A 24,711-nucleotide genomic window follows, 5' to 3' on the forward strand; every position below is an offset into this window, starting at 1 on the left:
TAAGTCTACCAATTAGGTAAGCCATAGACAAAATAAGAAATAGACCTTTTGTTACTTTTCTGTATTTATCTCTAAATATTTTCTCTGCTCAGTTATCAAATTACAGTTAATAAACAGGGTCCTCTTCTGTATTTATTTCATGTGAGGATTCACACTTTAAAGATTTAGTATAATATTCAAAAACCACAGTTACTTTTGTATCAACCTAATAATAAAGTTACCTAACATTTACCTTAGTAAGCACTTACTGTGTGCTTTAAATGTATTAACTAATTTAATTCTTGTAACAACCTATGAGGTTCTTACTGTGACAATTCTCATTTCAAAGGTGAGGAAAGCAAGGCAGATAGGTAACTTACAAAGTAAATCATGTGACTATGAGTGTTAAAGCTTGTATATGAGCTTGGAACCCAGGCAGTGGGATTCAGCCTGTGCTCTTAACTACCATGCTATACTGCCTTATATAATCATTAACTGTATTGCTGGGTATGTGGAATTACTATGGTATTATTTACAGCTCACACTAGTTATTCAGTTAATAATGGTTTTATTTTCAGATTACCTTAGAGAAAGTATAATTCAACAACATATGGTTTCTCCAGAGCCAGCTTCCCTTAAGGAGAAAGGGAAGTCAAGGAGAAAAAAGGATCAAACTCATGCTTGTCCAAATGTTAGGAAAGCCAGGCCTGTGTCCTATGATAGAACAGGTATGTGGTATCACTGAACCAATTGCTTAGAAATCACTATACTTTTTCAGATTATTCTGTGGTTTGTGTGCTTATATTGGACACTGACTTTAGAAAAAACAGTCTTACTGAATTTTATGTGTTTGGTTGCTTAAGGATTATTACAATGCTTTTAAAATTCTTTTTGAAAATCTAAAATATTATGTTGAAAAATTGACAGAGACTGTTTAATGACTGTTCTTAACTAAGAACAATATCTGAAGGCTATGATTTTAGAACTATAATATAAACTGTATGGTTTTTTACATACAACTGTAGTAAAACTTGATGATTTCATTTTATTTAACAATTTTATGCCTTTGCCTGATAGAGTTTAAATCCCCAAATAAATAGTTTATTTAAATAGATTTTCTTCCACTAACATCTTCTAGTTTGTGTTTTCTCTATAACTGAAATTCTTCTTAGTATTAATATTTTAATTTTATAAAAGAAAGGAAACTTTTCTATTTTCACTGAAACACCATGGTACAGAGGTGGATTTATCATAAAGCTATTGAAGCCTAAGCTTCAGGGCCTCTCACTCACACAGGCTTCATCCCTTCATCCTTTCTTTAAATAAATATCCTCAAAATTATAAGTACCTCATATAGCACAAAACCTCCACGGACGTGGTGGTGTTCATGCCCTTGTATAATTCTCTCCCCTTGAATGTGGAAAGGACCTGTGACTGCTTCTAACTAATAGGTGATGGGTTGTCACTGCTGTGATCATATTACATTATCCAATACTCCATTTTGCTGGTGGACTTGTTCTAGAGTCTCTCCCCTTTGCTGGCTTCGAAGAAGCAAGCTGCTATGATTCCAATCACAAAGAAATGAATTCTTCTTACAACCTGAGGGAGCTTGGAAGCAGATCTTTTCCCAATAGAGCCTCCAAATGAGAATCCATTCCCAAGCAACACCTCGATTACAGCCTTTGAGACTTTAAGCAGAGGATCCGTTAAGCTGTATCCAGACTCCTGACCCACAGAAACTGTGAGATAGTAAATGTATGTTGTTTGAAGCCACTAAATTTGCAGTAATTTGTTATGCATTGTATTAGTCCTTTCTCACACTGCTATGAAGAAATACCTGAGACAGGGTATTTTATAAAGGAAAGGGGTTTAATTCACTCACAGTTCTGCATTCCTGGGGAGGCCTCAGAAAACTTACAATCATGGTGGAAGGCAAAGGAGAAGCAGGCACCTTCTTCACAGTATGGCAGGATGGAGTGAGTGCAAATAGGGGAAATGCCAGATGCTTATAAAACAATCAGATCTCATGAAACTCACTCATTATCATGAGAACAACATGGGGGAAACCACCCCCATGATCCACTTACTCCACCTGGTCCCACACTTGACACATGGGGATTATGGGAATTACAATTCAAGGTGACATTTGGGTGAGGACACAGAGCCAAACCATATTATGCATCCAGGAAACTGACACAGTGGCTTTATTGCAACAAATGTTGCTGTACATTAAGAATTCTTAATATTTTGTTGCATTGTCCTTCAGTGTTTTGAAATTGGTATCTAGTGTAAGAAAGGCCAAAAATTTAGGCTTAATGGCTGCCAGATAAATAAAATTCTAATTCTTTACTGATTGCATTTCTTTAATTTGCTTCCCTCATTTAGCTTCTATAAATTCATGAATATGTAAACTGATAAAGACCTAAGTGGCATTTTGTTTAGATTTTAGAACAATTATTAAATATTTCAAATATACAATATAGAGAAGATAATTTAGTATTCATGTACTTATTACCAGGATTTAACAACATTTTGTCATTTTGTTAAAAAAGAAAGTTGTAGACAGAATTCTAAGATGCCCTCCAGTATTCCTACCCTCTGGTGTACATGCTTTGTATAATTGCCTCCCCCTAAGTGGAAGCAGAACCTGTGAATATGATGGACTGTCACTCCCATGCTTTTATGTTATTTTATATGGCAAAGGGATTTTCAGATGTATTTAAGGCCCTTAATCAAATCAGTTGACTTTAAATTTATCAAAGGAGACTATTAGGGGCATGCCTGACCTAATCAGATATACCCTTAAGAGACCAGAAGCAGTAGCAGAGGCCCTGTCACTGCCTTTGAGGAGCAAACTGCCATGTTGTACAGAGGGCCACATGGCAAGAACCCTAAAGCTAGCTGAGAACTGTACCCAGCCAACTACCAAGAAAATGGGGACCTCAGTCATACAGCCATAAGGAAACGAATTCCACCTCAAACCTGAGGGGCTTGGAGGCAAGTCTTTCACTAGCCCAGCCTCTAGATAAGGGCATGGTCAGCTGACACTTTGATTTCTGCCCTGCGAGAACCTGAGCAGAGGACCCAGCCAAAATTTGCCAGACTCCTGACCTTGTTTCTTTTTAGTAAGCATTCTTGATTCTGTCATGAACTAACCTAACTCTCTTTTAGAAAAATGTTTTCTTTCCAGCTTTTTGAAAGTTATGTGTTCCTTATATTTTACTATTTATTCTGAAAAAGTGTTCTTTATTTTATTTGCTGAAATTGCCTCCATTTTCGAACAGTCTTTGTCAGATCTGTTGAATCTGCCAAATTACACTAAAAAATGGAAATGCTAATTTATGATACTTTCACGATATTACACAAGGGGAATACCCTTGCCAATAGTTGATATTTTCCAATTTTAAATTTTTTGCCAGTCTGAGTGAGATATGTGTTTTCAGTTTTATTTTAGTTTGCAATTCCCTGATTACTAATGAGGTTGAATATTTTTCCATATGTTTATGGGCCATTTATCTTTTCCTGTAAATTTTTTGTTCATCTTTCTATCAAAATGTTTATTTTTTAATCATTAAGAATTCTTGAAATATTTGGTATAGTAATATCTAGCCTGTTATGTAGGTTATAAACATCTTTTTAAAATTTGTTAATTATATTTTAACTTTGTGTATGGTAGCTTTTCTTGTGTATAAGTTGCTAAGTTTGAGCAAGTCAAATTTATCATTGTTTTCCTTTTAACATGCTTTGATTCTTTTTCAAGAAGCCTTCACTACCCCACATTTATAAACATATTCTCCCATATTTTCTTCTAGTATTTCTATAATTTGTTTTTCCACATTTATAGCTCTAATCCATCTATAATTTATACTTGCATATAACTGCATATTTATTTCAAATGGCTAACCACTTTTGCATTATGATTTATTGAATAATCGCTCTGTTGATTTGAATTATCTTTTTCACTTATTAGATTGGCTTATATACATAGTTATATTTCAAGACTCTAATTTTTTTCTACTTCTGTGCTTTTCTACGTCAATACCACACTATTTTGATTTCTAGAAGGTATATATTTTTATATCTGGGTCTATGATGTTACTTATCCTCTTGTCAGACATACACAGTTTGTACCATATCCTTAATACTAATTTTCAATACCTCACCTAGGGCACAAAATGTAAAGAGGGACTCACTCTTAGAGTCATGCAAGTGCCTCATCCTAGTTATAATAGTGTCTTATACAAGAGCTCAAGTCTCATTTCATCCTTAGCAAAGAAGTTGTTTTAGTCCAATGCTGTTTGTAAGTTCTAGAGGGCCAGAAATATAACTTCTTAGCATGGCTTTTTGTATGCTTCTCTTTCCATGATTTGTTCTATCAAGAAAGGAAGTTTAAGGGCCAGGAGGACAACCTGTATTGCATGGTAAATAAAAGCCAAGAAAAGAGACTCTTTCAAGAAGGAGAAGATTGTCAATTGTCAGCTAAGAGATTAAGTGAGAGATGTTCTGAAAGGTGTCTGTGGGATGAGCATCCTTAGGAAAAATGTCTCCATCCCACACTGTCATCCCTACTTTTCTGATCCAACTGTCCCTACCCCAGCTTAGGCATTTATTAAGAAAAGCCGTATAACCAGTTCCTATTCCTAGTCTCTTCTCTTGTTACTACCTGTGTAATTATGAATTAGGTCTTTTGTGACATCTTTCTTAAATTCATAAATATTATTCCCTCTTTCTAACTTCTGTTAAAACTGAGTTTTGAGCTATTTTTTCTCCTCTAATAATCGTTATGTATACTTTGTTACCATTTAAATTTTTCTCTATATAGAAATATTTGTAATATTATGCATTATCCTTAAGTGATGCCCACATTTGCACTTATACTGGATTTTTAAATTGTTCTATACCAGAACCAAAAGATGATGATGTGATAAGAAATATTATTAGGCTACGAGAAAAGCTTGGTTGGCAAACTATATTACCGCAGCACAGTTTGAAATACGGAAGCTCCAAAATTGCAATTCAGAAGATTACTTTAAAGGTATTGTTCTATTTTATTTAATTTTGATCTTTAAAAATCAATATTGAAATTATATTTTAATTTTTATTTCATTTCAGATATTATGTCAAAGTCAAACATTACATTAATATCAAGTTACAATTATTTCATGGTAAATGCAAAAGTATTTGACATCATTTCATTTTACTTATTTAAGAAATGGAGAATAGATAAAGCATATAAACTTTAAGTCTATAACACATCAAAATGTTTATGTCTGTCACCTCTCATCACTTTCTCTGAGTGAGTCCCCAGGAAAGGGGTATCATCTGCCTGAAACTTGAATCTACTGTTTGGTTTCTGGATATCACTTTTTCTGTGATTTAAGAAGAAATTGTTAGGTAATGTAACATTCTGTTCTTCTCACACTCTAACTCCCTGGTACCTGATTTTCTATCTCGTCTGGTCTGTATTTCCTTATGCTATTCATTTTTTTCTTACCCATTAGCCTCTTTCTTCAGAGAAATTTTAGCTTGTCCAAGGTCACATGACCAGAGGGTGAAAGCTATGGTAAGAACTAAGGTGTGTGTCCTGAGACCTCATTTATTACAGGTGCTCTAAGATTGAACAGGATCATCTCTCCCTACTGTTAGATAGGGAATTCTCAAAATGTGGTCCCCAGGCAAGCAACACTGGAATCACCTTAGAACTTACTAGACATACACATTCTCATCTGCACCCTAGACCCACTGAATCAGAAACCTTGAGAGGCAGAGCCTTGCAATCTGTATTTTATTCAGCTCTCCACATGATTCTAATGCACAATTAAGAACCACTGCTTCCAACCAAGGATCAGTAGATTTTTTTCTGAAGAGGACCAGGTAATAAATATTTTAGATTTTGAAACTACTCAACTCTGTCACTGTAGTACCAAAGCATTGATAGATAATACATATATAAATGGATGTGACCGTGTTCCAATAAAACTTTATTTACAAAAACAGGCACCTGGCCCTGCTCTACACTGTTACCATGAAGATAAATCATCTTTTAATCATTTTTCAGAGGCAACAATATGAAGGAAAGTACATGTATAATCAAATCAGATTCACCTGGTTTTGAACCTATACACTCACCATATTATCAAGTTCCTAACCTCTTGAGCTTTCATGTTTTGACCTTGAAATGGAGATAATAATAGTTACTGTGGAGGACTGTGAAAATTAAATATATGCCATGGTGCCTGGCAGGTAGTGGGCACAGTAGTTTAAAAACAAAACAAAACCATAGCTGTACATGGGTTCCTTGGACTCCCAAATAAAGTGAATTTCATTTGTGTGTGAAGAAAGGATTGAGAATATGATTAAACACTTGTTTTTAATTGAAAAAATAATTTAATTGGAACATATTCTTATGCTTTTATAATTTGATTTTTAATTATATATATGATCTATTTGGAAGATTTGTATCTACCTTGTTTCTTAGTAATGTTTTGAAACCTAATTTAGAATATAGATAACTCAAATGGCCAAATAACTATTAAAAAGGTCATACATTATACAAGTCATCATTTAGAGCTCATTTATTTCCTGTTATTTGCAGTTTTTAAACTTGTTTTTGAGGATTTAATATTGATTATATTAGAAGCTGAAATAAGAAAGTGAAACAGCTAAAATAATTGAGAAGAAACAAGTAATCTTCAAGGAAGACAGAATTTTAAAAAGTGTAAAACTGGATCCAAAATTTAAAACTACAGTGATTGGAAACCATTTAGTTACACAATAGCTTCTGAGGACATCACTAAATACTAAATGCTTTTTTATGGTAAAATTTAATTATCCAGAAAAGACTAAAGTTTTCTTATGATTTTAGAATTTTTTATCAATAAAAGTTAAAAGTTTCAAGAAACTTTTATTTTAAAGCTAAAAGAAATAAATTTTCCTTAAAATTTTCCTTAATGTGGAATGGCTGATTTTTCAATGCCAAGTGTGGGAGAGGCATTATAGTTTATTGCAATAGCTCAGAATATGGGTTTACAGTCAGACTTGGATTCACATCCCTACGTCACCATTTCCTGAATTTGTGACTTTTCTCAAATTATCTAACTTATCAAAATATTCATTTTTTAAAATTTGAAAAACAGGGTCTTTCTCTGTCACCCAGGCTGAAGCCACAATGGTGTGAGTAAAGCTCCCTGCAGCCTCAAACTCTTGGGCTCAAGTGACCTCACCTCAGCTTCCTGAGTAGTTGAGATTACAGATGTGAACCACCTCACTCAGCTCCATCAGAGTATTAATTTCTGCAATTGTTTAATGAAGTTGAAAATATTAAGCCTTAGTTTCTTTAAATATGAGAGATGAAAGTTAATAAACTCTTATGGTTGTAAAGATAATGTATATGAAAGAGTTATTACTCATTAAATATTTATTACTTAACAAATAATAGCTGTTTTTATCTTATACCAAACCACCATCATTATCAAAATAAATGACAAATTTAATATGCCCAAAAGATTTCTGGTGTTGGCAGACAAATACTAGAAGATGGCATATATGTAAAAGGTATGTCATCAAGTTCTTTGGATTAGTAAGCATGTATTATTAAGTATATAGATAATTTTTTCTGAATTAAAGATCCTTTTTTAAGGATGAAAATTAAATATATTAAATCTTTCATAAGATTGATCTTGTTGAACATTGTTTAGACATAATTTGATGTTAGCTTTCTCCAAATATAGTATTCTTATTTTTAATCTGTATTAAAATTGTTTCAATTTAGTGGGTAATCTGTTCACCCATTGTATTAATTTAGTTAATTTAGTCAAATTAATTAAATTTGTTTATTATTTTTTTTTTAATCTCAGAAACCTTTGGAAGATGATGGAGAATTTGTTTATTGCCTTCCTCGGAAAAGTCCTAAATCCCTTTACAATCCATATGATCTTCAGGTAGTATCGGCTCATACTGCTAAACATTGCAAAGAATTTTGGGTTATTACTGCTTCATTTATCTCAAAGGTAATGTTTAATGGATGTTTTAAGCTTTCAGAATTATATTACAAAAATATTATCCAAGGTAGAATTTAATTGCATACATTTATCTTTGTGTTTCAGAGATACTTGGTCATTTGTGGAGCAGTTTATATATAAGAATCTCCTTGGGAGCATGTTATTTAATAGTGAAGTTTTTCCTTTTGTGTAGAGATTTAGGTTTGAAGATTCAACTTTAATAAATTTTTTCATCTATCAAATACTTTGTTAATACTTGGGGTAAATTTTTACAGGAAGAACTACAAAACAAGCATTTGCTAGCTTAATGGGAACTATAATAATAAAGAAAAGAATATTCTTTATTGGCACATTTGTCAGAAACTTTATTGCCAGATGTAGAAATCCCCCTTTTACACTCTTATATAGCATTTTGATATTTATCACAAGTTGAAAATATACAATTACTTGTTTTAATGATTTGTTTAATGTCTGTCTGCCTTTTTCTGCCTTCCCAGCCTCCCATAAAATGAACTTTATTAGTGGGCAAGACCACATCTTTGCATGAGGTAGATCTGTATGTGCAAATAAAGAAATATCTCTAATATGCAGTATCAAGTGAGAATGGAGGAAAAACTTCTATAGATATATGAATATACACGTAGATACATATGTGCTGATAAAAATATGTATACTTTTCTCTCTGGAATAAATTTTTTTATGTGGTGACATTCAGATAGGGGAGGGGCACTCATGGGAAGAGAGAGAACTCCTTGATGAAGGGCATGTAGTTTTTGAATGTCAATATAGGGTATGTGGGTGGTGAGATTATAAGATTATACACACATTTCTGTAGCTAAAATTAAGTTCATAAATACTACTTTTATAGAAAATGTAAAAATTATGAGACTCAAATCTGAACAGCTATTTGTGAAAAGTATCTCAGGGTGAGGAGGAAGTTTCTCTTCTCTCTGTTGGAGCACAAGAAATAGCATTAGAAAACGACAAGTACAGAAGCAGTGTGTTGAGGGAAATCAAATTTGGGTATAGATAAAGTGGCTGAGGATTCATACATAGAAAAAGCTTAATTATAAAGGCAAGAAGTTACAAGAAGTTATCAGCCAAATACAGGCTTTCTTAATTTCTTGAAAATGGTACATATTTTTTAAAGAAATAAAATAATGCTTTTGTGCTTTATTTTGTAGGTTATTAATATAGTTGGTAGTGTAAAGGAAGTAGAACTCATACCTACTTTGGAATGGCTATCAGAAAGAAGACATTACTATTTATTACGGCAATTCAAGATATTTTCTGATTTCCGGTGAGGTGAAAAAAATGAAACCAATTCTTTGTAGTTTGATCCTATTGAAGGAGCAGTTGCCTGAGTGACATCTGGGTTCTACTACAGTAATACCAGTAGAAAATAGTACTAATTCTTTTATCTAAAAATTTTTTACGGAACACCCCATTTCCTCTGTAACTTATGAAGAAATGCCAATAATTTTGGCATTTAAGAAGCATTTTTCCTTTCAGAATTAATAAAGCATTTGTTACCTGTAACTTATGAGGAAATGCCATAAGTTACAGAAGAATGAGATGTTCCATAAAATTTCTTTAGATAAAGGAAGTTTACTCTTTTCAGTATTAAAACTCTTAATTTTAGTCTCTTTGGATAAATATTGTAAAAATATTTTATGGTCAAGCAAACTTAAATACACCCTACAGTTGACTCTGGAACAACGCAAGGGTTAGGGGCTCTGACCCCCTACACAGTTGAAAATTTGAGTATAACTTTTGACTCTACCCAAACTTTGCTATTAATACTAATAGTCTATTGTTGACAAGAAGCTTTATCAGTAACATAAACAATCAATTAACATGTTTTGTCTGGTAGATATATACTGTATTCTTACAATAAAGTAAGTTAGAGGAAAGAAAAAGGAAAATCATAAGGGAGAGAAAATAAATTTACTACTCATTAAATGGAAGTAGATCATAATAAAATTCCTTCATCCTCATCATTTTCACATTGAGTAGGCTGAGGAGGTGGAGGAAAAGTAGAGGTTGGTTTTTGTTGCAGGAAGTCAGGGACCCCGAACGGAGGGACCGGCCGAAGCCATGGCAGAAGAACGTGGATTGTGAAGATTTCATGAACATTTATTAGTTCCCCAAATTAATACTTTTATAATTTCTTACACCTGTCTTTACTGCAGTCTCCGAACATAAATTGTGAAGATTTCATGGATACTTATCACAATAAATACCCTTGTGATTTCCTATGCCTGTCTTTACTTTAATCTCTTAATCCCGTCATCTTCGTAAGCTGAGGAGGATGTATGTCACCTCAGGACCCTGTGTTGATTGCGTTAACTGCACAGATTGTGTGTAGAGCATGTGTGTTTGAACAATATGAAATCTGGGCACCTTGAAAGAAGAACAGGATAACAGCAATGTTCAGGGAACAAGAGAGATAACCTTAAATTCTGACCACTGATGAGCTGGAACAGAGCCATATTTCTCTTTCAAAAGCAAATGGGAGAAATATCTCTGAATTCTTTTTCTCAGCAAGGAACATCCCTGAGAAAGAGAATGCGTCCCTGAGGGTAGGCCTCTGAAATGGCCGCTTCGGGGGGCGGCTGTATTTTATGGTCAAAGCTGTAGGGATGAAATAAGCCCCAGTCCCGTAACGCTCCCAGGCTTATTAGGACGAGGAAATTCCCGCCTAATAAATTTTGGTGAGACCGGTTGTCTGCTCTCAAACCCTGTCTTCTGATAAGATGTTATCAGTGACAATGCGTGCCCGAAACTTCATTGGCAATTTTAATTTCGCCCCGGTCCTGTGGTCCTGTGATGTTGCCCTGCCTCCATTTGCCTTGTGATATCTTATTACCTTGTGAAGCATGTGATCTCTGTGACCCACACCCTATTCGTACACTCCCTCCCCTTTTGAAAATCACTAATAAAAACTTGCTGGTTTTACCGCTCGGGGGCATGATGGAACCTGCCGACATGTGATGTCTGCCCCGGACACCCAGCTTTAAAATTTCTCTCTTTTGTATGCTGTCCCTTTATTTCTCAGACTGGCCGACACTTAGGGAATATAGAAAAGAACCTACGTGAAATATTGGGGGTGAATTTTGCCCGATACCTGGCTGAATTTCCCCTGATAGGTTTTGCTGTCTCAGGGGTGGCAGATGTGGAAGAAAATGTACATATAAATGGACTTGTGCCGTTCAAACCCATGTTGTTCAAGAGTCAACTATGTTGACTTGGGTTTGCCTTTTTTTCTGTGCATATATTTATTTATATGAATATTTATTGAGAGTCTGTTAAGAACCAGGCATTATTCTAGATGCCAGGGATATTGTATTGAACAAACCAAACAATTATCCTGCACTCAAATATTTATATCATAGTAGGTGAGAGATAATAGAAAACATGCAAATAGGTAAAATATTGAGTGGAGACTAAATGTAGTTGAAGGAAAATAAAACAGAGTAAGGGAGCTGGGGCAGCTTGTTGATTCAAGTTCATGATTAAAAATTTATCTAGTTTTAAGGTACATTATGTTACATTACATTATATCACATCACATTAGGATTCTCAAGACTCTGATTCTTCACAAAGTAGTTCCAGATTGTTGTTCTTTTAGTGTGTATCTAGTTCTATAATTTTCTTGTTTCTTCTCTAATGTCTGCATTTTCTTGTGATATGTTTTTGTCCATTGGGGACTAGGAAAACAGAAAAATAATATTTTAAATTGTTTATTTAATATGTAAATAGCTTAAATAACTAAGGACCTGAGAAACTTTTTTTTTGTAAGAGAAGAAGGATTTTGTGACAGAGAAATTAATTATTGAATAAATGTTATCATGTCCCTATTTTGTTTCACTGGTGTAAGAACTGGAGATAGAACTGTGAAAAAATATACAGGTTTCTGTTCCTATAGAACTTAGATTCTAATGGAGGGAGATAGATAATAATAGGTAAATAAATAATTTCAGATAGTGATGAGGCCTAGAAATATAATAAAACAGAGAACTAGAGACGTCTGTGTGCATTGCTTCTTTAGATAGGTTGGTCAGAGATGTGGCAGTGAAGCAGAGACCTAAATGATGAAAAAGAGACAGCCATGTGGGGCTTCCAGAAGGAGAATATAGCAAGTTTCAAAGTTGTGAAGCAGGAACAAGTTTAGTATGGATTTGATGGTAGAAGTGGTGTTCCTGGAATGAAGTTGGTAGGAAATGAAGCTGGTTCTGTTATTTTCTGGGACCTGTCACATGTAGTGTAGATGACTGAGTAACAGTTCTGAGAAGTTTCTCGTCAAAGATAGGTGATAGTTGCATCCCTGTAATTTAGGAACTAGAATTGGGGCTAGATAGGTTTTTGATTCTGGATTATCAATTTAAGATATTATCCAAAGTACTATTTTCTGTATCTTTTTATTTGAAACTCTGTCAGTGTCAGACTTTCCACTGTTGTCCTTGCCTTCTGATAAATCCTCAGGGTCTGCTCTGCTGTAAATAATTATCATTTATTAAACTTTTTAAGTTCAACTGCAGATGGGACAAGAATCATCTTTTTACATGACATTTGGCATCAATGTCTATAGTCAAAATGATTCATTTTCTTTATTCAAGTTAAAAATACAAATTAAATTTTATATTTACTTAATTTGTACTTAATTTTATATTTACTGAAGTTGTACAATTAATATAGACTTACTTAATTTTTAAATTTTATGATTTATTTATTTATTATTTTTTTTGAGACAGAGTCCTGCTCTGTCACCCAGGCTGGGGTGCAGTGGTGCGATCTCGGCTCACTGCAAGCTCTGCCTCCTGGGTTCAGGCCATTCTCCTGCCTCAGCCTCCCAAGTAGCTGGGACTACAGATGCCTACCACCGCACCTGGCTAATTTTTTTTTTTTTGAGATGGAGTCTTGCTCTGTCACCCAGGCCGGAGTGCAGTGGCATGATCTCGGCTCACTGCAAGCTCCGCCTCCCGGGTTCACACGATTCTCCTGCCTCAGCCTCCCGAGAAGCTGGGACTACAGGCGCCTGCCACCACACCTGGCTAATTTTTTGTATTTTTAGTAGACACAGGGTTTCGCTGTGTTAGCCAGGATGGTCTCGATCTCCTGACCTTGTGATCCGCCTGCCTTGGCCTCCCAAAGTGCTGGGAATACAGGTGTGAGCCACCGCGCTTGGCCAATTTTATTTTTAATATCTTTATAGTTTTTCTTAGATCACTATATTATAAAAGGTAATATTTCAAATAGAAAAATGAGATAAAGATGAAGTGTTAACAACTTAAGCTGGTGATGCCAGTACAGGGGTGATTAGACCATCAGCATCATCGTTTTACCTCATGAAACTTTTCTGGTATATTAGTTTTTGTGACCTGGTGCAGATACTCCTTACACTATCACTGGGTTCCCCTCTGATTCTTATGGATTTTCAGGGATCTTCTAGGGTTCTGAGATACCATGACTCTATGGATTTGGATTAAAGTGAAATAGTAACTTATGTGGAGTGCTTCTTTGGAGCCGGATTTAAGGTCAAGTTACTAGATTTTGATTGAGGCAGTCCTGATTTCCAAGGCCTCAGGTGGGCCTGTTTGAAGGATATCATGGGATGCTCTTTGAACTGCTTGGATGGCTCCAGGCCTCTTTCAGCCATCTTTGATTCAAAATTAGCCAACGTCATCACTAGGATTGGCTGTTTGGTTGGCTTCTCAGACACACCCCTATCCCCACTATTTTCCCACTAGCTCTCACTAGCTGCATAAGTAATCTCACATTGGCAAACAAGTATCACATCTCAGTGTTTATTTAAAGGTGGTTGTTTTCCTCTAGATGCAAAGGCTACCAAGGGAGTGATTGTGATATTGCATTAGACTAGTCCCACACGTGCATAATATAGGTGGCCATATTCATTTAGAGTTGAGAGAGCTTTGCAGAAACAGTTGGCCTGTCTTTTTCAAAATGCATGACAATTATTGATGATGAGTAATAACCAGGGAAACTTTCCAATTCTTTCTCATGTAGGTTCTTTGAGTTTTAAAAATTACAAGTGCATTTTTTACATAAGTATTATATAATATCAAAATGACATACATTGCCTTAATTTTTTACTTACCACTATACAGACTTTTTATCAATGTACCTTTTCATTATCACTGAAAATTGAATCTTGATTTTATTGAAATATGAAGTCTCTTTTCGAAGTAAGCCAATAAACATATAAAGGAAAACGGTATTTTAAAAATAATTTTTAATATTTATTGGAATGTTGCAGCTAAGTGAATCCTGTATCTATGAGAATTATAAGGACTTTCATTTACATTTACCTTTTGCTCTATATTCTGTTGATAGTTTGGGAGAAAATTTATATGGCTTAGCATTTCCTTTAGGTAACTCAGGATGAATGAAATATGTTCTAGAGAATATTCTGGTATTACTAAGCTTTTACTAAATTTATTCCATATAAATACGTGGTTTATGGATATGGAATATAAGAAGCATTTTTCCTTTCAGAATGAATAAAGCATTTGTTACCTGGAAATTGAATGTTAAAAGAATTAAGACAGAGAAGAGCAGGTAAGTTTTGATACGCAATATATAAAAATTTCAAAAGGAAGCTGTATGTTTTACATGTACTATGGAAGCAGATATAATTTCATTTTCATTCAGTGATTAGAAAGTCACATTCCATTGCTTTACGATTAAACTTAACCCATTTTTATTTTTAAAAGACTATTAAACACTGTGTTTTGCAGTGTACCATTCTATGGTCATAGAACTATGGAAAACCTTGATGAGTTCCCTTGGTCACTTTATCTAACTTCTTGCTTCCAGGAAGAAGAATAATTAAGTCATTTAAAGTAGACAACAGTAATCTTATTTTGTTAGGATCTCCATCAGCCAAATGTTTTTTAAAATTGTTTTTATTAAACTTTTTATTTTGAGATAATCGTGGATTGAGATGCAGTTATAAGAAATAATAGAGATATCCCATGTACCTTTTACCCAGTTTCCCTCCCAAATGTTGCAAAACTACAGTCTATGATGACAGCCAGGGCATTGACAATGATATATAATCAAGATATAGAACACTGCTATCACCACAGTTTCCCTTGTGTTGGCCTTTTATAGCTATATCCACCTTCCTCTTATTCCTACTCTCTCCTTGACCTTTGGCAACCACTAATCTGTTTGCCATTTCTGTAATTTTATCTTTTCAAGAATGTTCTTTTCAAAGGGAATGCTTCCAGTTTTTGCCCATTCAGTATGATATTGGCTGTGGGTTTGTCATAGATAGCTCTTATTATTTTGAGATACGTCCTATCAATACCTAATTTATTGAGAGTTTTTAGCATGAAGCGTTGTTGAATTTTGTCAAAGGCCTTTTCTGCATCTATTGAGATAATCATGTGGTTTTTGTCTTTGGTTCTGTTTATATGCTGGATTACATTTATTGATTTGTGTATATTGAACCAGCCTTGCATCCCAGGGATGAAGCCCGCTTGATCATGGTGGATAAGCTTTTTGATGTGCTGCTGGATTCGGTTTGCCAGTATTTTATTGAGGATTTTTGCATCAATGTTCATCAAGGATATTGGTCTGAAATTCTCTTTTTTTGTTGTGTCTCTGCCCAGTTTTAGTATCAGGATGTTGCTGGCCTCATAAAATGAATTAGGGAGGATTCACTCTTTTTCTATTGATTGGAATAGTTTCAGAAGGAATAGTACCAGTTCCTCCTTGTACCTCTGGTAGAATTCGGCTGTGAATCCATCTGGTCCTGGACTCTTTTTGGTTGGTAAGCTATTGATTATTGCCACAATTTCAGAGCCTGTTATTGGTCTATTCAGAGATTCAACTTCTTCCTGGTTTAGTCTTGGGAGTGTGTATGTGTCGAGGAATTTATCCATTTCTTCTAGATTTTCTAGTTTATTTGCGTAGAGGTGTTTGTAGTATTCTCTGATGGTAGTTTGTATTTCTGTGGGATCGGTGGTGATATCCCCTTTATCATTTTTTATTGCGTCTATTTGATTCTTCTCTCTTTTCTTCTTTATTAGTCTTGCTTGCGGTCTTTCAATTTTGTTGATCCTTTCAAAAAACCAGCTCCTGGATTCATTAATTTTTTGAAGGGTTTCTTGTGTCTCTATGTCCTTCAGTTCTGCTCTGATTTTAGTTATTTCTTGCCTTCTGCTAGCTTTTGATTGTGTTTGCTCTTGCTTTTCTAATTCTTTTAATTGTGATGTTAGGGTGTCAATTTTGGATCTTTCCTGCTTTCTCTTGTGGGCATTTAGTGCTATAAATTTCCCTCACACACTGCTTTGAATGTGTCCCAGAGATTCTGGTATGTTGTGTCTTTGTTCTCGTTGGTTTCAAAGAACATCTTTATTTCTACCTTCATTTCGTTATGTACCCAGTAGTCATTCAGGAGCAGGTTGTTCAGTTTCCATGTAGTTGAGCGGTTTTGAGTGAGTTTCTTAATCCTGAGTTCTAGTTTGATTGCACTGTGGTCTGAGAGACAGTTTGTTATAATTTCTGATCTTTTACATTTGCTGAGGAGAGCTTTACTTCCAACTATGTGGTCAATTTTGGAATAGGTGTGGTGTGGTGCTGAAAAAAATGTATATTCTGTTGATTTGGGGTGGAGAGTTCTGTAGATGTCTATTAGGTCTCCTTGGTGTAGAGCTGAGTTCAATTCCTGGGTATCCTTGTTAACTTTCTGTCTTGTTGATGTGTCTAATGTTGACAGTGGGGTGTTAAAGTCTCCCATTATTATTGTGTGGGAGTCTAAGTCTCTACAACCATAAAAACCCTAGAAGAAAACCTAGGCATTACCATTCAGGACATAGGCTTGGGCAAGGACTTCATGTCTAAAACACCAAAAGTAATGGCAACGAAAGCCAAAATTGACAAATGGGATCTAATTAAACTAAAGAGCTTCTGCACAGCAAAAGAAACTACCATCAAAGTGAACAGGCAACCTACAAAATGGGAGAAAATTTTCGCAACCTGCTCATCTGACAAAGGGCTAATATCCAGAAAGTACAATGAACTCAAACAAATTTACAAGAAAAAAACAAACAACCCCATCAAAAAGTGGGCGAAGGACATGAACAGACACTTCTCAAAAGAAGACATTTATGCAGCCAAAAAACACATGAAAAAATGCTCACCATCACTGGCCATCAGAGAAATGCAAATCAAAACCACAATGAGATACCATCTCATACCAGTTAGAATGGCAATCATTAAAAAGTCAGGAAACAACAGGTGCTAGAGAGGATGTGGAGAAATAGGAACACTTTTACACTGTTGGTGGGACTGTAAACTAGTTCAACCATTGTGGAAGTCAGTGTGGCGATTCCTCAGGGATCTGGAACTAGAAATACCATTTGACCCAGCCATCCCATTACTGGGTATATACCCAAAGGACTATAAATCATGCTGCTATAAAGACACATGCACACGTATGTTTATTGCAGCACTATTCACAATAGCAAAGACTTGGAACCAACCCAAATGTCCAACAATGATAGACTGGATTAAGAAAATGTGGCACATATACACCATGGAATACTATGCAGCCATAAAAAAGGATGAGTTCATGTCCTTTGTAAGGACATGGATGAAGCTGGAAATCATCATTCTCAGTAGACTATCGCAAGAACAGAAACCAAACACCGCATGTTCTCACTCATAGGTGGGAATTGAACAATGAGAACACATGGACACAGGAAGGGGAACATCACACTCTGGGGACTGTTGTGGGGTGGGGGGAGGGTGAAGGGATAGCTTTAGGAGATATACCTAATGCTAAATGACAAGTTAATGGGTGCAGCACACCGGCATGGCACACGTATACATATGTAACTAACGTGCACATTGTGCACATGTACCCTAAAACTTAAAGTATAATAATAATAATAAAAAAGAATGTTCTTATGATAAATAACAATAAATCAAGAGGAGGGAAGGAAACTTTTGGAGGTGACAGTTTATGGCATAGATTGTTCACAGATGTATACTTATCTCCACATGCACCAAGTTGTATACATTAAATAGGTACAGCTTTTTGCGTGTCAATCATACTTCAATTAAATGGTTTTCAAAAAAAGAATGCTGTATCTGCGCAGCAAAGGAAATAATCCACAGGGTGAAGAGACAGCCTGCAGAATGGGAGAAAATATTTGCCAACTGTTCATTCTATAAGGGATTAATATGCAGAATATAAAGGGGACTCAAACAACAGTAAAAAATAAATAATCTGATTTAAAAATGGGCAAAGGATTGGAATAGACATTTCTCAAAAGAAGGAATACAAATGGCCAGCAGGTATATGAAAAGATGCCCAACATCCCCAATCAGGGCAATGCAAGTCAAAACCACAATGAGATATCACCTCACTCCAGATAGAATGGCTGTAATCAAAAAGACAAAAAATAAATGCTGATGAGGATATGGAGAAAAGATAACTCTTATACACTGTTGGTGGGAATGTAAATTAGCACAACCATATGGAAAAACAGTACGGAGGTTTCTCAAAAAACTAAAAATAGAGCTACCATACAAGCCAACAATCCCACTACTGGGTATTTATGTGAAGAAAGGAAATCCATATATTGAAGAGACACCTGCATTCCCATGTTTACTGCAGCACTGTTCACAACAGCCAAGATAGGAATCAATCTAAAAGTCCATCAACAGATGAATGAAGACAATGTATATATACACAAAATAGAATACTATTCAACCAGAAAAAAAAGATTAAATTCAGTCATTTATGGCAAGATGGATGAGTTTGGAGGACATCATGTTAAGTTAAATAAGTCAGGCATGGAAAGATAAATATTCTTGTTCTCACTAATATGTGGGAGCTAAAATATTTGAACTCATAGAAGTGGAGAGTAAAACTGTGGTTATTAGATGATGAGAAGGGTGTTGGGGAGGGGAGGATAGAGAGAGGTTGGTTAACAGATAGATGGGAGGAATAAGTTGTAGTGTTCTATAGCTTTGTAGTAAACAATAATTCATTACATTTTTTCAAATAGTTAGAAGATTTTGCATTTTATTCTTATTTCCTTTTTTTAGAGACAGAGTCTCACTCTTGCCCAGGCGGCAGTACAGTTGTGTGATCATAGCTCACTACAGCCTCAAACTCCTGGGCTGAAGCAGTTCTCCCACCTCAGCCTCCTGAATACCTGGGGCTACAGGCATGCACCACCATGCCCAGCTATTTTTTATTTTTATTTTGTAGAGATGGGGACTCACTATGTTGCCCAGGCTGGTCACCAACTCCTGGCTTCAAGTAGTCCTCCCACTTTAGCCTCCCGAAGTACTGGGATTACAGGCAATGGTCACTGTGGCTGACCCTTAAAAAAGAGGATATTGAATGTTATCAAGTCAAAGAAATGATAAAGGTTTGAGGTGATGAATATGCTAATTACCCTGATTTACTAACACATTGTGTACATTTATTAAAATATCACAATTATTTGGATTAGGGGTGGGGCAAGATGGCAGAATAGAATCCTTCACTGATCATACCTCCTGCAGGAACACCAAATGTTCCTTCATAAAAAAAGCATCTTCATAACCAAAACTCAGGTGAGCAACCACAGTACCTGGTTTTAACTTCATATTGCTGAAAGAGGCACTGAAGAGGGAAGGAAACAGTCTTGAATCACTGATGGCATCTTTCTCCCATGCCATGGCAGTGGCTGTGTGGTGTGGAGAGATAATCTGAGCACTTAGAGGAGGGAGAGTGCAGTGCTTGTGGGACTGTTCATTGAACTCAGTGCTGCCCTGTCACAGCAGAAATCAAAACCCAGCCGAACTCAACTGACAGCCACCCACAGAGGGAGAATTTAGACCAGTTCTAGCCAGATTGGAATCGCCCATCCCAGTGGTTGGAACTTGAGTTCCAGCAAGCCTTGCCACTGCAGACTAAAGAGCTATGTGGTCCTAAATAAACTTGAAAGGCAGTATAGGCCACAAGGACCACAATTCTTGAACAAGTCCTAGTGCTGTTTTGAGCTTGGAACCAATGGATGTGGGGGGCACCCAACCTAGTGAGACATCAGCTGGAAAGGCTAAGAGAGTGCTTGCACCTACCTCCGCTAACCCCAGGCAGCACACCTCACAGCAAAGAAAGTGGCTCCTTCCTTCTGTTGAGGAGAGGAGAGGTAAGACTAAAGAGGACTTTGACTTTGTCTTGCATCTTGGAGACCAACTCAGCCACAGTAGGAGAGGGTACCAGGCAGAGTCATGAGGTCTCCATTCCAGGTCCTAGATCCCAGACATTTATAGACATACCCTGGACTAGAAGGGAACCCACTGCTGTGAAGGGAAGGACCCAGTTCTGGCAAGATTCATAATCTGCTGACTAAAGAGCCCTTGGGCCCTGAATGACCACCAGTGTTAACCAGGTAGTACACTATGGCCTTGGGTGAGACTCAAACATGCTGGCTTCAGGTGAGACCCAGCACATTCACAGCTGTGGTGGCTATAGTGAGACTCCTTCTGCTTAAGAAAAGCAGAGGGAAAAGTAAAGGGGATTTTGTCTTGCACCTTAGGTACTATCTTGGCCACAGTGGGATGGAATACCAAGTAGACTCTTGGTGTCCCCGATTCCAAGCCTTGGTTCTTGGATGGCATTTCTGGACCTGCACTGGGACAGAGGAGAGCACACTGCCCTGAAGGGTGAGTCCCAAACCTGGCAACGTTCACCACAAGCTGACTGAAAAGCCCTTGGTGAACATCAGTGGTAGCCTGGAAGGTACTCCCTATGGGCCTGTGGTGGTGGTGGCCACGGGGATTTCCTCTGCCTGTGGAGAGAGGAAGGAAGAATGGGAAGGACTTTGTCTTGTGGTTTGAGAGCCAGCTCAGTTGCGGTAGTATAGAGTGTCACATCAATTTCTAAGGTTTTGGACTCCAATCCGTGGCTCCCAGACAGCATCTCTGGACCTATCCAGGGCCTGGGGGATCTCACTGCCATTAAGGGAAGGATGCAAGCCTGGCAGGCTTTGCCACCTGCTGATTGTGGAGCCCTAGGTTCTTGAGTGAACATAGGCAGTAGCCAGGTAGTGGTTACAAGGCTTTGGTGAGACTCAGGCCTGTTGGCTTCAGGTTTAACCAGAAGGACACAAGCCTGGCTGGCTTTGCCAACTACTGATTGAAGAGTCTTAGGTCCTTGAGTGAACATACATCCGACCCAGTGCAATCACAGTGGTGGTGGCCACAGTGGGGCTTGTGTCACCCCACCCCCAGCTCCATGTGGGGGGCTATGGGAGGGATAGCATTAGGAGAAATACCTCATGTAGATGACAGGTTGATGGGTGCAGCAAACCACCATGGCACGTGTATACCTATGTAACAAACCTGCACGTTCTGCACATGTATCCCAGAACTTAAAGTATAATTAAAAAATAAAATAAATAGCTGTATTGGATTTTGTCTAATGCTTTTTCTGCATCTATTGAGATGATCATGTGTATTCTGTTTATGTGGTGAATCACATTTATTGACTTGGATATGTTAAACCATCCCTGCATCCCTGGTATGAAACCCACTTGATCATGGTGGATTATCTGTTTGATATGTTGTTGGATTCAGTTAGCTAGTATATTGTTAAAGATTCTAGCATCTCTGTTCATCAAGGATATCAGTCTGTAGTTTTCTTTTTTGGTTGTGTCCTTTCTTGGTTTTGGAATTAGGGTGATGCTGGCTTCATAGAATGAATTAGGGAGGGTTCCTTCTTTCCCTATCTTGTGGAATAGTGTCAAAAGGATTGGTATCAATTATTCTTTTAATGTCTGGTAGCATTCTGCTGTGAATCTGTCTGGTCCTGGACTTTTTTTTTGCTGGTAATTTTAAATTACCATTTCAATCTCGCTGCTTGTTATTGGTCTGTTCAGGGTATCTAATTCTTCCTGATTTAAGCTAGAAGGGTTGTATTTTTCCAGGAATTTATCCATTTCTTCTAGGTTTTCTAGTTTCTATGCGTAAAGGTATTCATAGTAGCCTTGAATGATCTTTTGTATTTCAGTGGTGTCAGTTGTAATATCTCCTGTTTCGTTTCTCAGTGAGGTTATTTGGATTTTCTTTCTTCTTTTCTTGGTTAAACTTGCTAATGGTCTATCAATCTTATTTATCTTTTCAAAGAACCAGCTTTTTGTTTCATTTATCTTTTGTATTTTTGGTTGGTTTGTTTCACTTTCGTTTAGTTCTGCTCTGATCTTGGTTTTTCCTTTCTTCTGCTGGTGTTGGGATTCATGCAGGATTGTGGCAGAAATATTAAAGGGAAATATTAGGGAAAGTTATAGGGAATAGTCACAAACCTTTTGGAAGGCCGAAAGGTTACATAACTTATAATAATTGAACAGGCTGAAGGCAGCCGGTTTTTACCTTAGAGCATTAGGTCATAGGGTAAATACTAGGGACAATAGAGGCTTCCCCAGTTAAGTCTGTTTACCCTACCTCCATTAACTAACCTTTGAGACAAATGGCCCTCTCAGGGGGAGGTCAACTAGGGATATTGCCCCCTACTGGTGTTTACTTTAGACCACCAGTACCTGAGCTTTAATCATTCCTAGAACTACTCTCTTAACCATGTTAATTATCCACAAGTGTATTGACTCAGAGCTTCTGTTGTTATTTGTATACTAAGTAAATGCCTAGAGTGCAAGCTGCTCAGGGCTGGCTGCAGTGTCAAACCTCTCTTGGTGTGCAGGCAGTCTGACACTCAGCTGGACTGGCAAAGCAGAATATCTGTGTGTCAGTGTACATTTTATTCATCCGTCATTTGGGTCAGGGTCTGCTAATGCACTCTTGTGAGGAGCAATACCCAACTGGTGCCACGTGTGAGGAAAAATACAACAACTGATGCTCCGTGTGAGGAAAAATACAACATGCTGGGTTTGGGTTTGGTTTGTTCTTGTTTCTCTAGTTCCTTGAGGCGTGACCTTAGACGGTCTGTTTGTGCTCTTTCAGACTTTTTGATGTAGTCATTTAGGGCTACAAACCTTCCTCTTAGTACCACCTTAGCTGTACCCCAGAGGTTTTGATAGGTTGTGTTATTATCGTCATTCAGTTTGAAGAATTTTTAAATTTTCATCTTGATTTCATTTTTGATCCAGTGCTCATTCAAGACCAGGTTATTTAATTTCCATGTATTTGCATGATATTCCATGTATTTGCATGATTTTGGAGTTGATTTCCAGTTTTATTCCACTGTGGTCTGAGAAAGTGGTTGATACAATTTCAGTTTTCTTAAATTTATTGAGGCTTGTTTTATGGCCTATCATATGGTCTATCTTGGAGAAAGTTCCATGGGCTGTTGAATAGAATGTGTGTTCTGCAGTTGTTGAATGAAATATTCTGTATATATCTGATAAGTCCATTTGTTCCGAGGTACAGTTTAAATCCATTATTTCTTTGTTGACTTTCTGTTTTGATTACCTGTCTAGTGCTGTCAGTGGAGTATTGAAGTCCCCCACTATTATTGTGTTGCTGTCTATCTCATTTCTTAGGTCTATTAGTAATTGTTTTATAAACTTGCAAGCTCCAGTGTTAGGTGCATATATGTTTATGATTGTGATATTTTCCTGTTAGACAAGGCCTTTTACCATTATATAATGTCTCTGTCTCTTTTAACCGCTGTTGCTTTAAAGTTTGTTTTGTCTGATATAAGAATAGCTACCCCTGCTTGCTTTTGGTGACCATTTGCGTGAAATGCCTTTTTCCACCCCTTTACTTTAAGTTTATGTTAGTCCTTACATGTTAGGTGAGGTTATGATCAAAACCCTCAGCAAAATCGGCATACAGGGATATACCTTAATGTAATAAAAGCCGTCTATGACAAACCCACAGCCAACATAATACTGAATGGGAAAAAGTTGAAAGCACTGAGAACGGGAACAAGACAAGGATGCCCACTCTCATCACTCCTCTCCAACATAGTACTGGAAGTCTTAGCCAGAGCAGTCCAACAAGAGAAGGAGATAAAGGGCATCCAAATTGGTAAAGAGGAAGTCAAACTGTCCCTGTTTGCTGACAATATGACCGTTTACCTTGAAAACCCTTAGTACTCCTCCAGAAAGCTCCTAGCACTGATAAAAGTATTCAGCAAAGTTTCCAGATACAATATTAATGTACACAAATCAGTAGCTCTTCTGTACACCAGCAGTGACCAAGCAGAGAATCAAATCAAGAACTCAACCCCTTTTACAATAGCTGAAAAGAAATACTTATGAATATACCTAACAAAGGAGTCAAAAGACCCCTACAAGGAAGACTACAAAACACTGCTAAAAGAAATCACAGATGACACAAACAAATGGAAACACATCCCATGCTCATGGATGAGTAGAATCAATATTGTGAAAATGACCATACTGCCAAAAGCAATCTACAAATTCAACCCAATCCCCACCAAAATACCATCATAATTCTTCACAGAGTTAGGAAAAACAATTCTAAAATTCATATGGAACCAAAAAAGAGTCTGCATAGCCAAAGCAAGACTAAGCAAAAAGAACAAATCTGGAGGCATCACACTGCCTGATTTCAAACTATATCACAAGGCCATAGTCTCCAAAACAGCATGGTACTGGTATAAAAATAGGCACATAGACCAATGAAACAGAAGAGAGAACCCAGAAATAAACCTGAATACTTACAGTCAACTGATCTTTGACAAAGCAAACAAAAACATAAAGTGGGAAAGGACTCCCTTTTT

The 24,711-nt window shown here is 36.7% G+C and overlaps 1 protein-coding gene across 25 annotated transcripts in view; it reads left to right on the forward strand.

The window, feature by feature from the left end:
* DNAH14 (dynein axonemal heavy chain 14) overlaps window positions 1-24,711 on the forward strand; it is a 469,633-nt gene that overhangs the window by 29,942 nt on the left and 414,980 nt on the right. For 21 of the 25 annotated variants that reach the window (XM_011544062.3, XM_011544067.3, XM_017000296.2 and 18 more), the window contains exons 4-8: window positions 558-707; window positions 4,884-5,014; window positions 7,836-7,988; window positions 9,164-9,279; window positions 14,496-14,558. In XM_011544062.3, the coding sequence (XP_011542364.1) occupies window positions 558-707; window positions 4,884-5,014; window positions 7,836-7,988; window positions 9,164-9,279; window positions 14,496-14,558 (613 nt within the window). Of the gene's footprint in view, window positions 1-557; window positions 708-4,883; window positions 5,015-7,835; window positions 7,989-8,084; window positions 8,330-9,163; window positions 10,238-14,495; window positions 14,559-24,711 lie in introns of those variants that run through there. The other 4 variants (NM_001349911.2, NM_001367481.1, NM_144989.3 and 1 more) reach the window with 4 other exon arrangements.

Source organism: Homo sapiens, chromosome 1, assembly GCF_000001405.40.
Source record: "Homo sapiens chromosome 1, GRCh38.p14 Primary Assembly".
Taxonomy (NCBI): domain Eukaryota; kingdom Metazoa; phylum Chordata; class Mammalia; order Primates; family Hominidae; genus Homo; species Homo sapiens.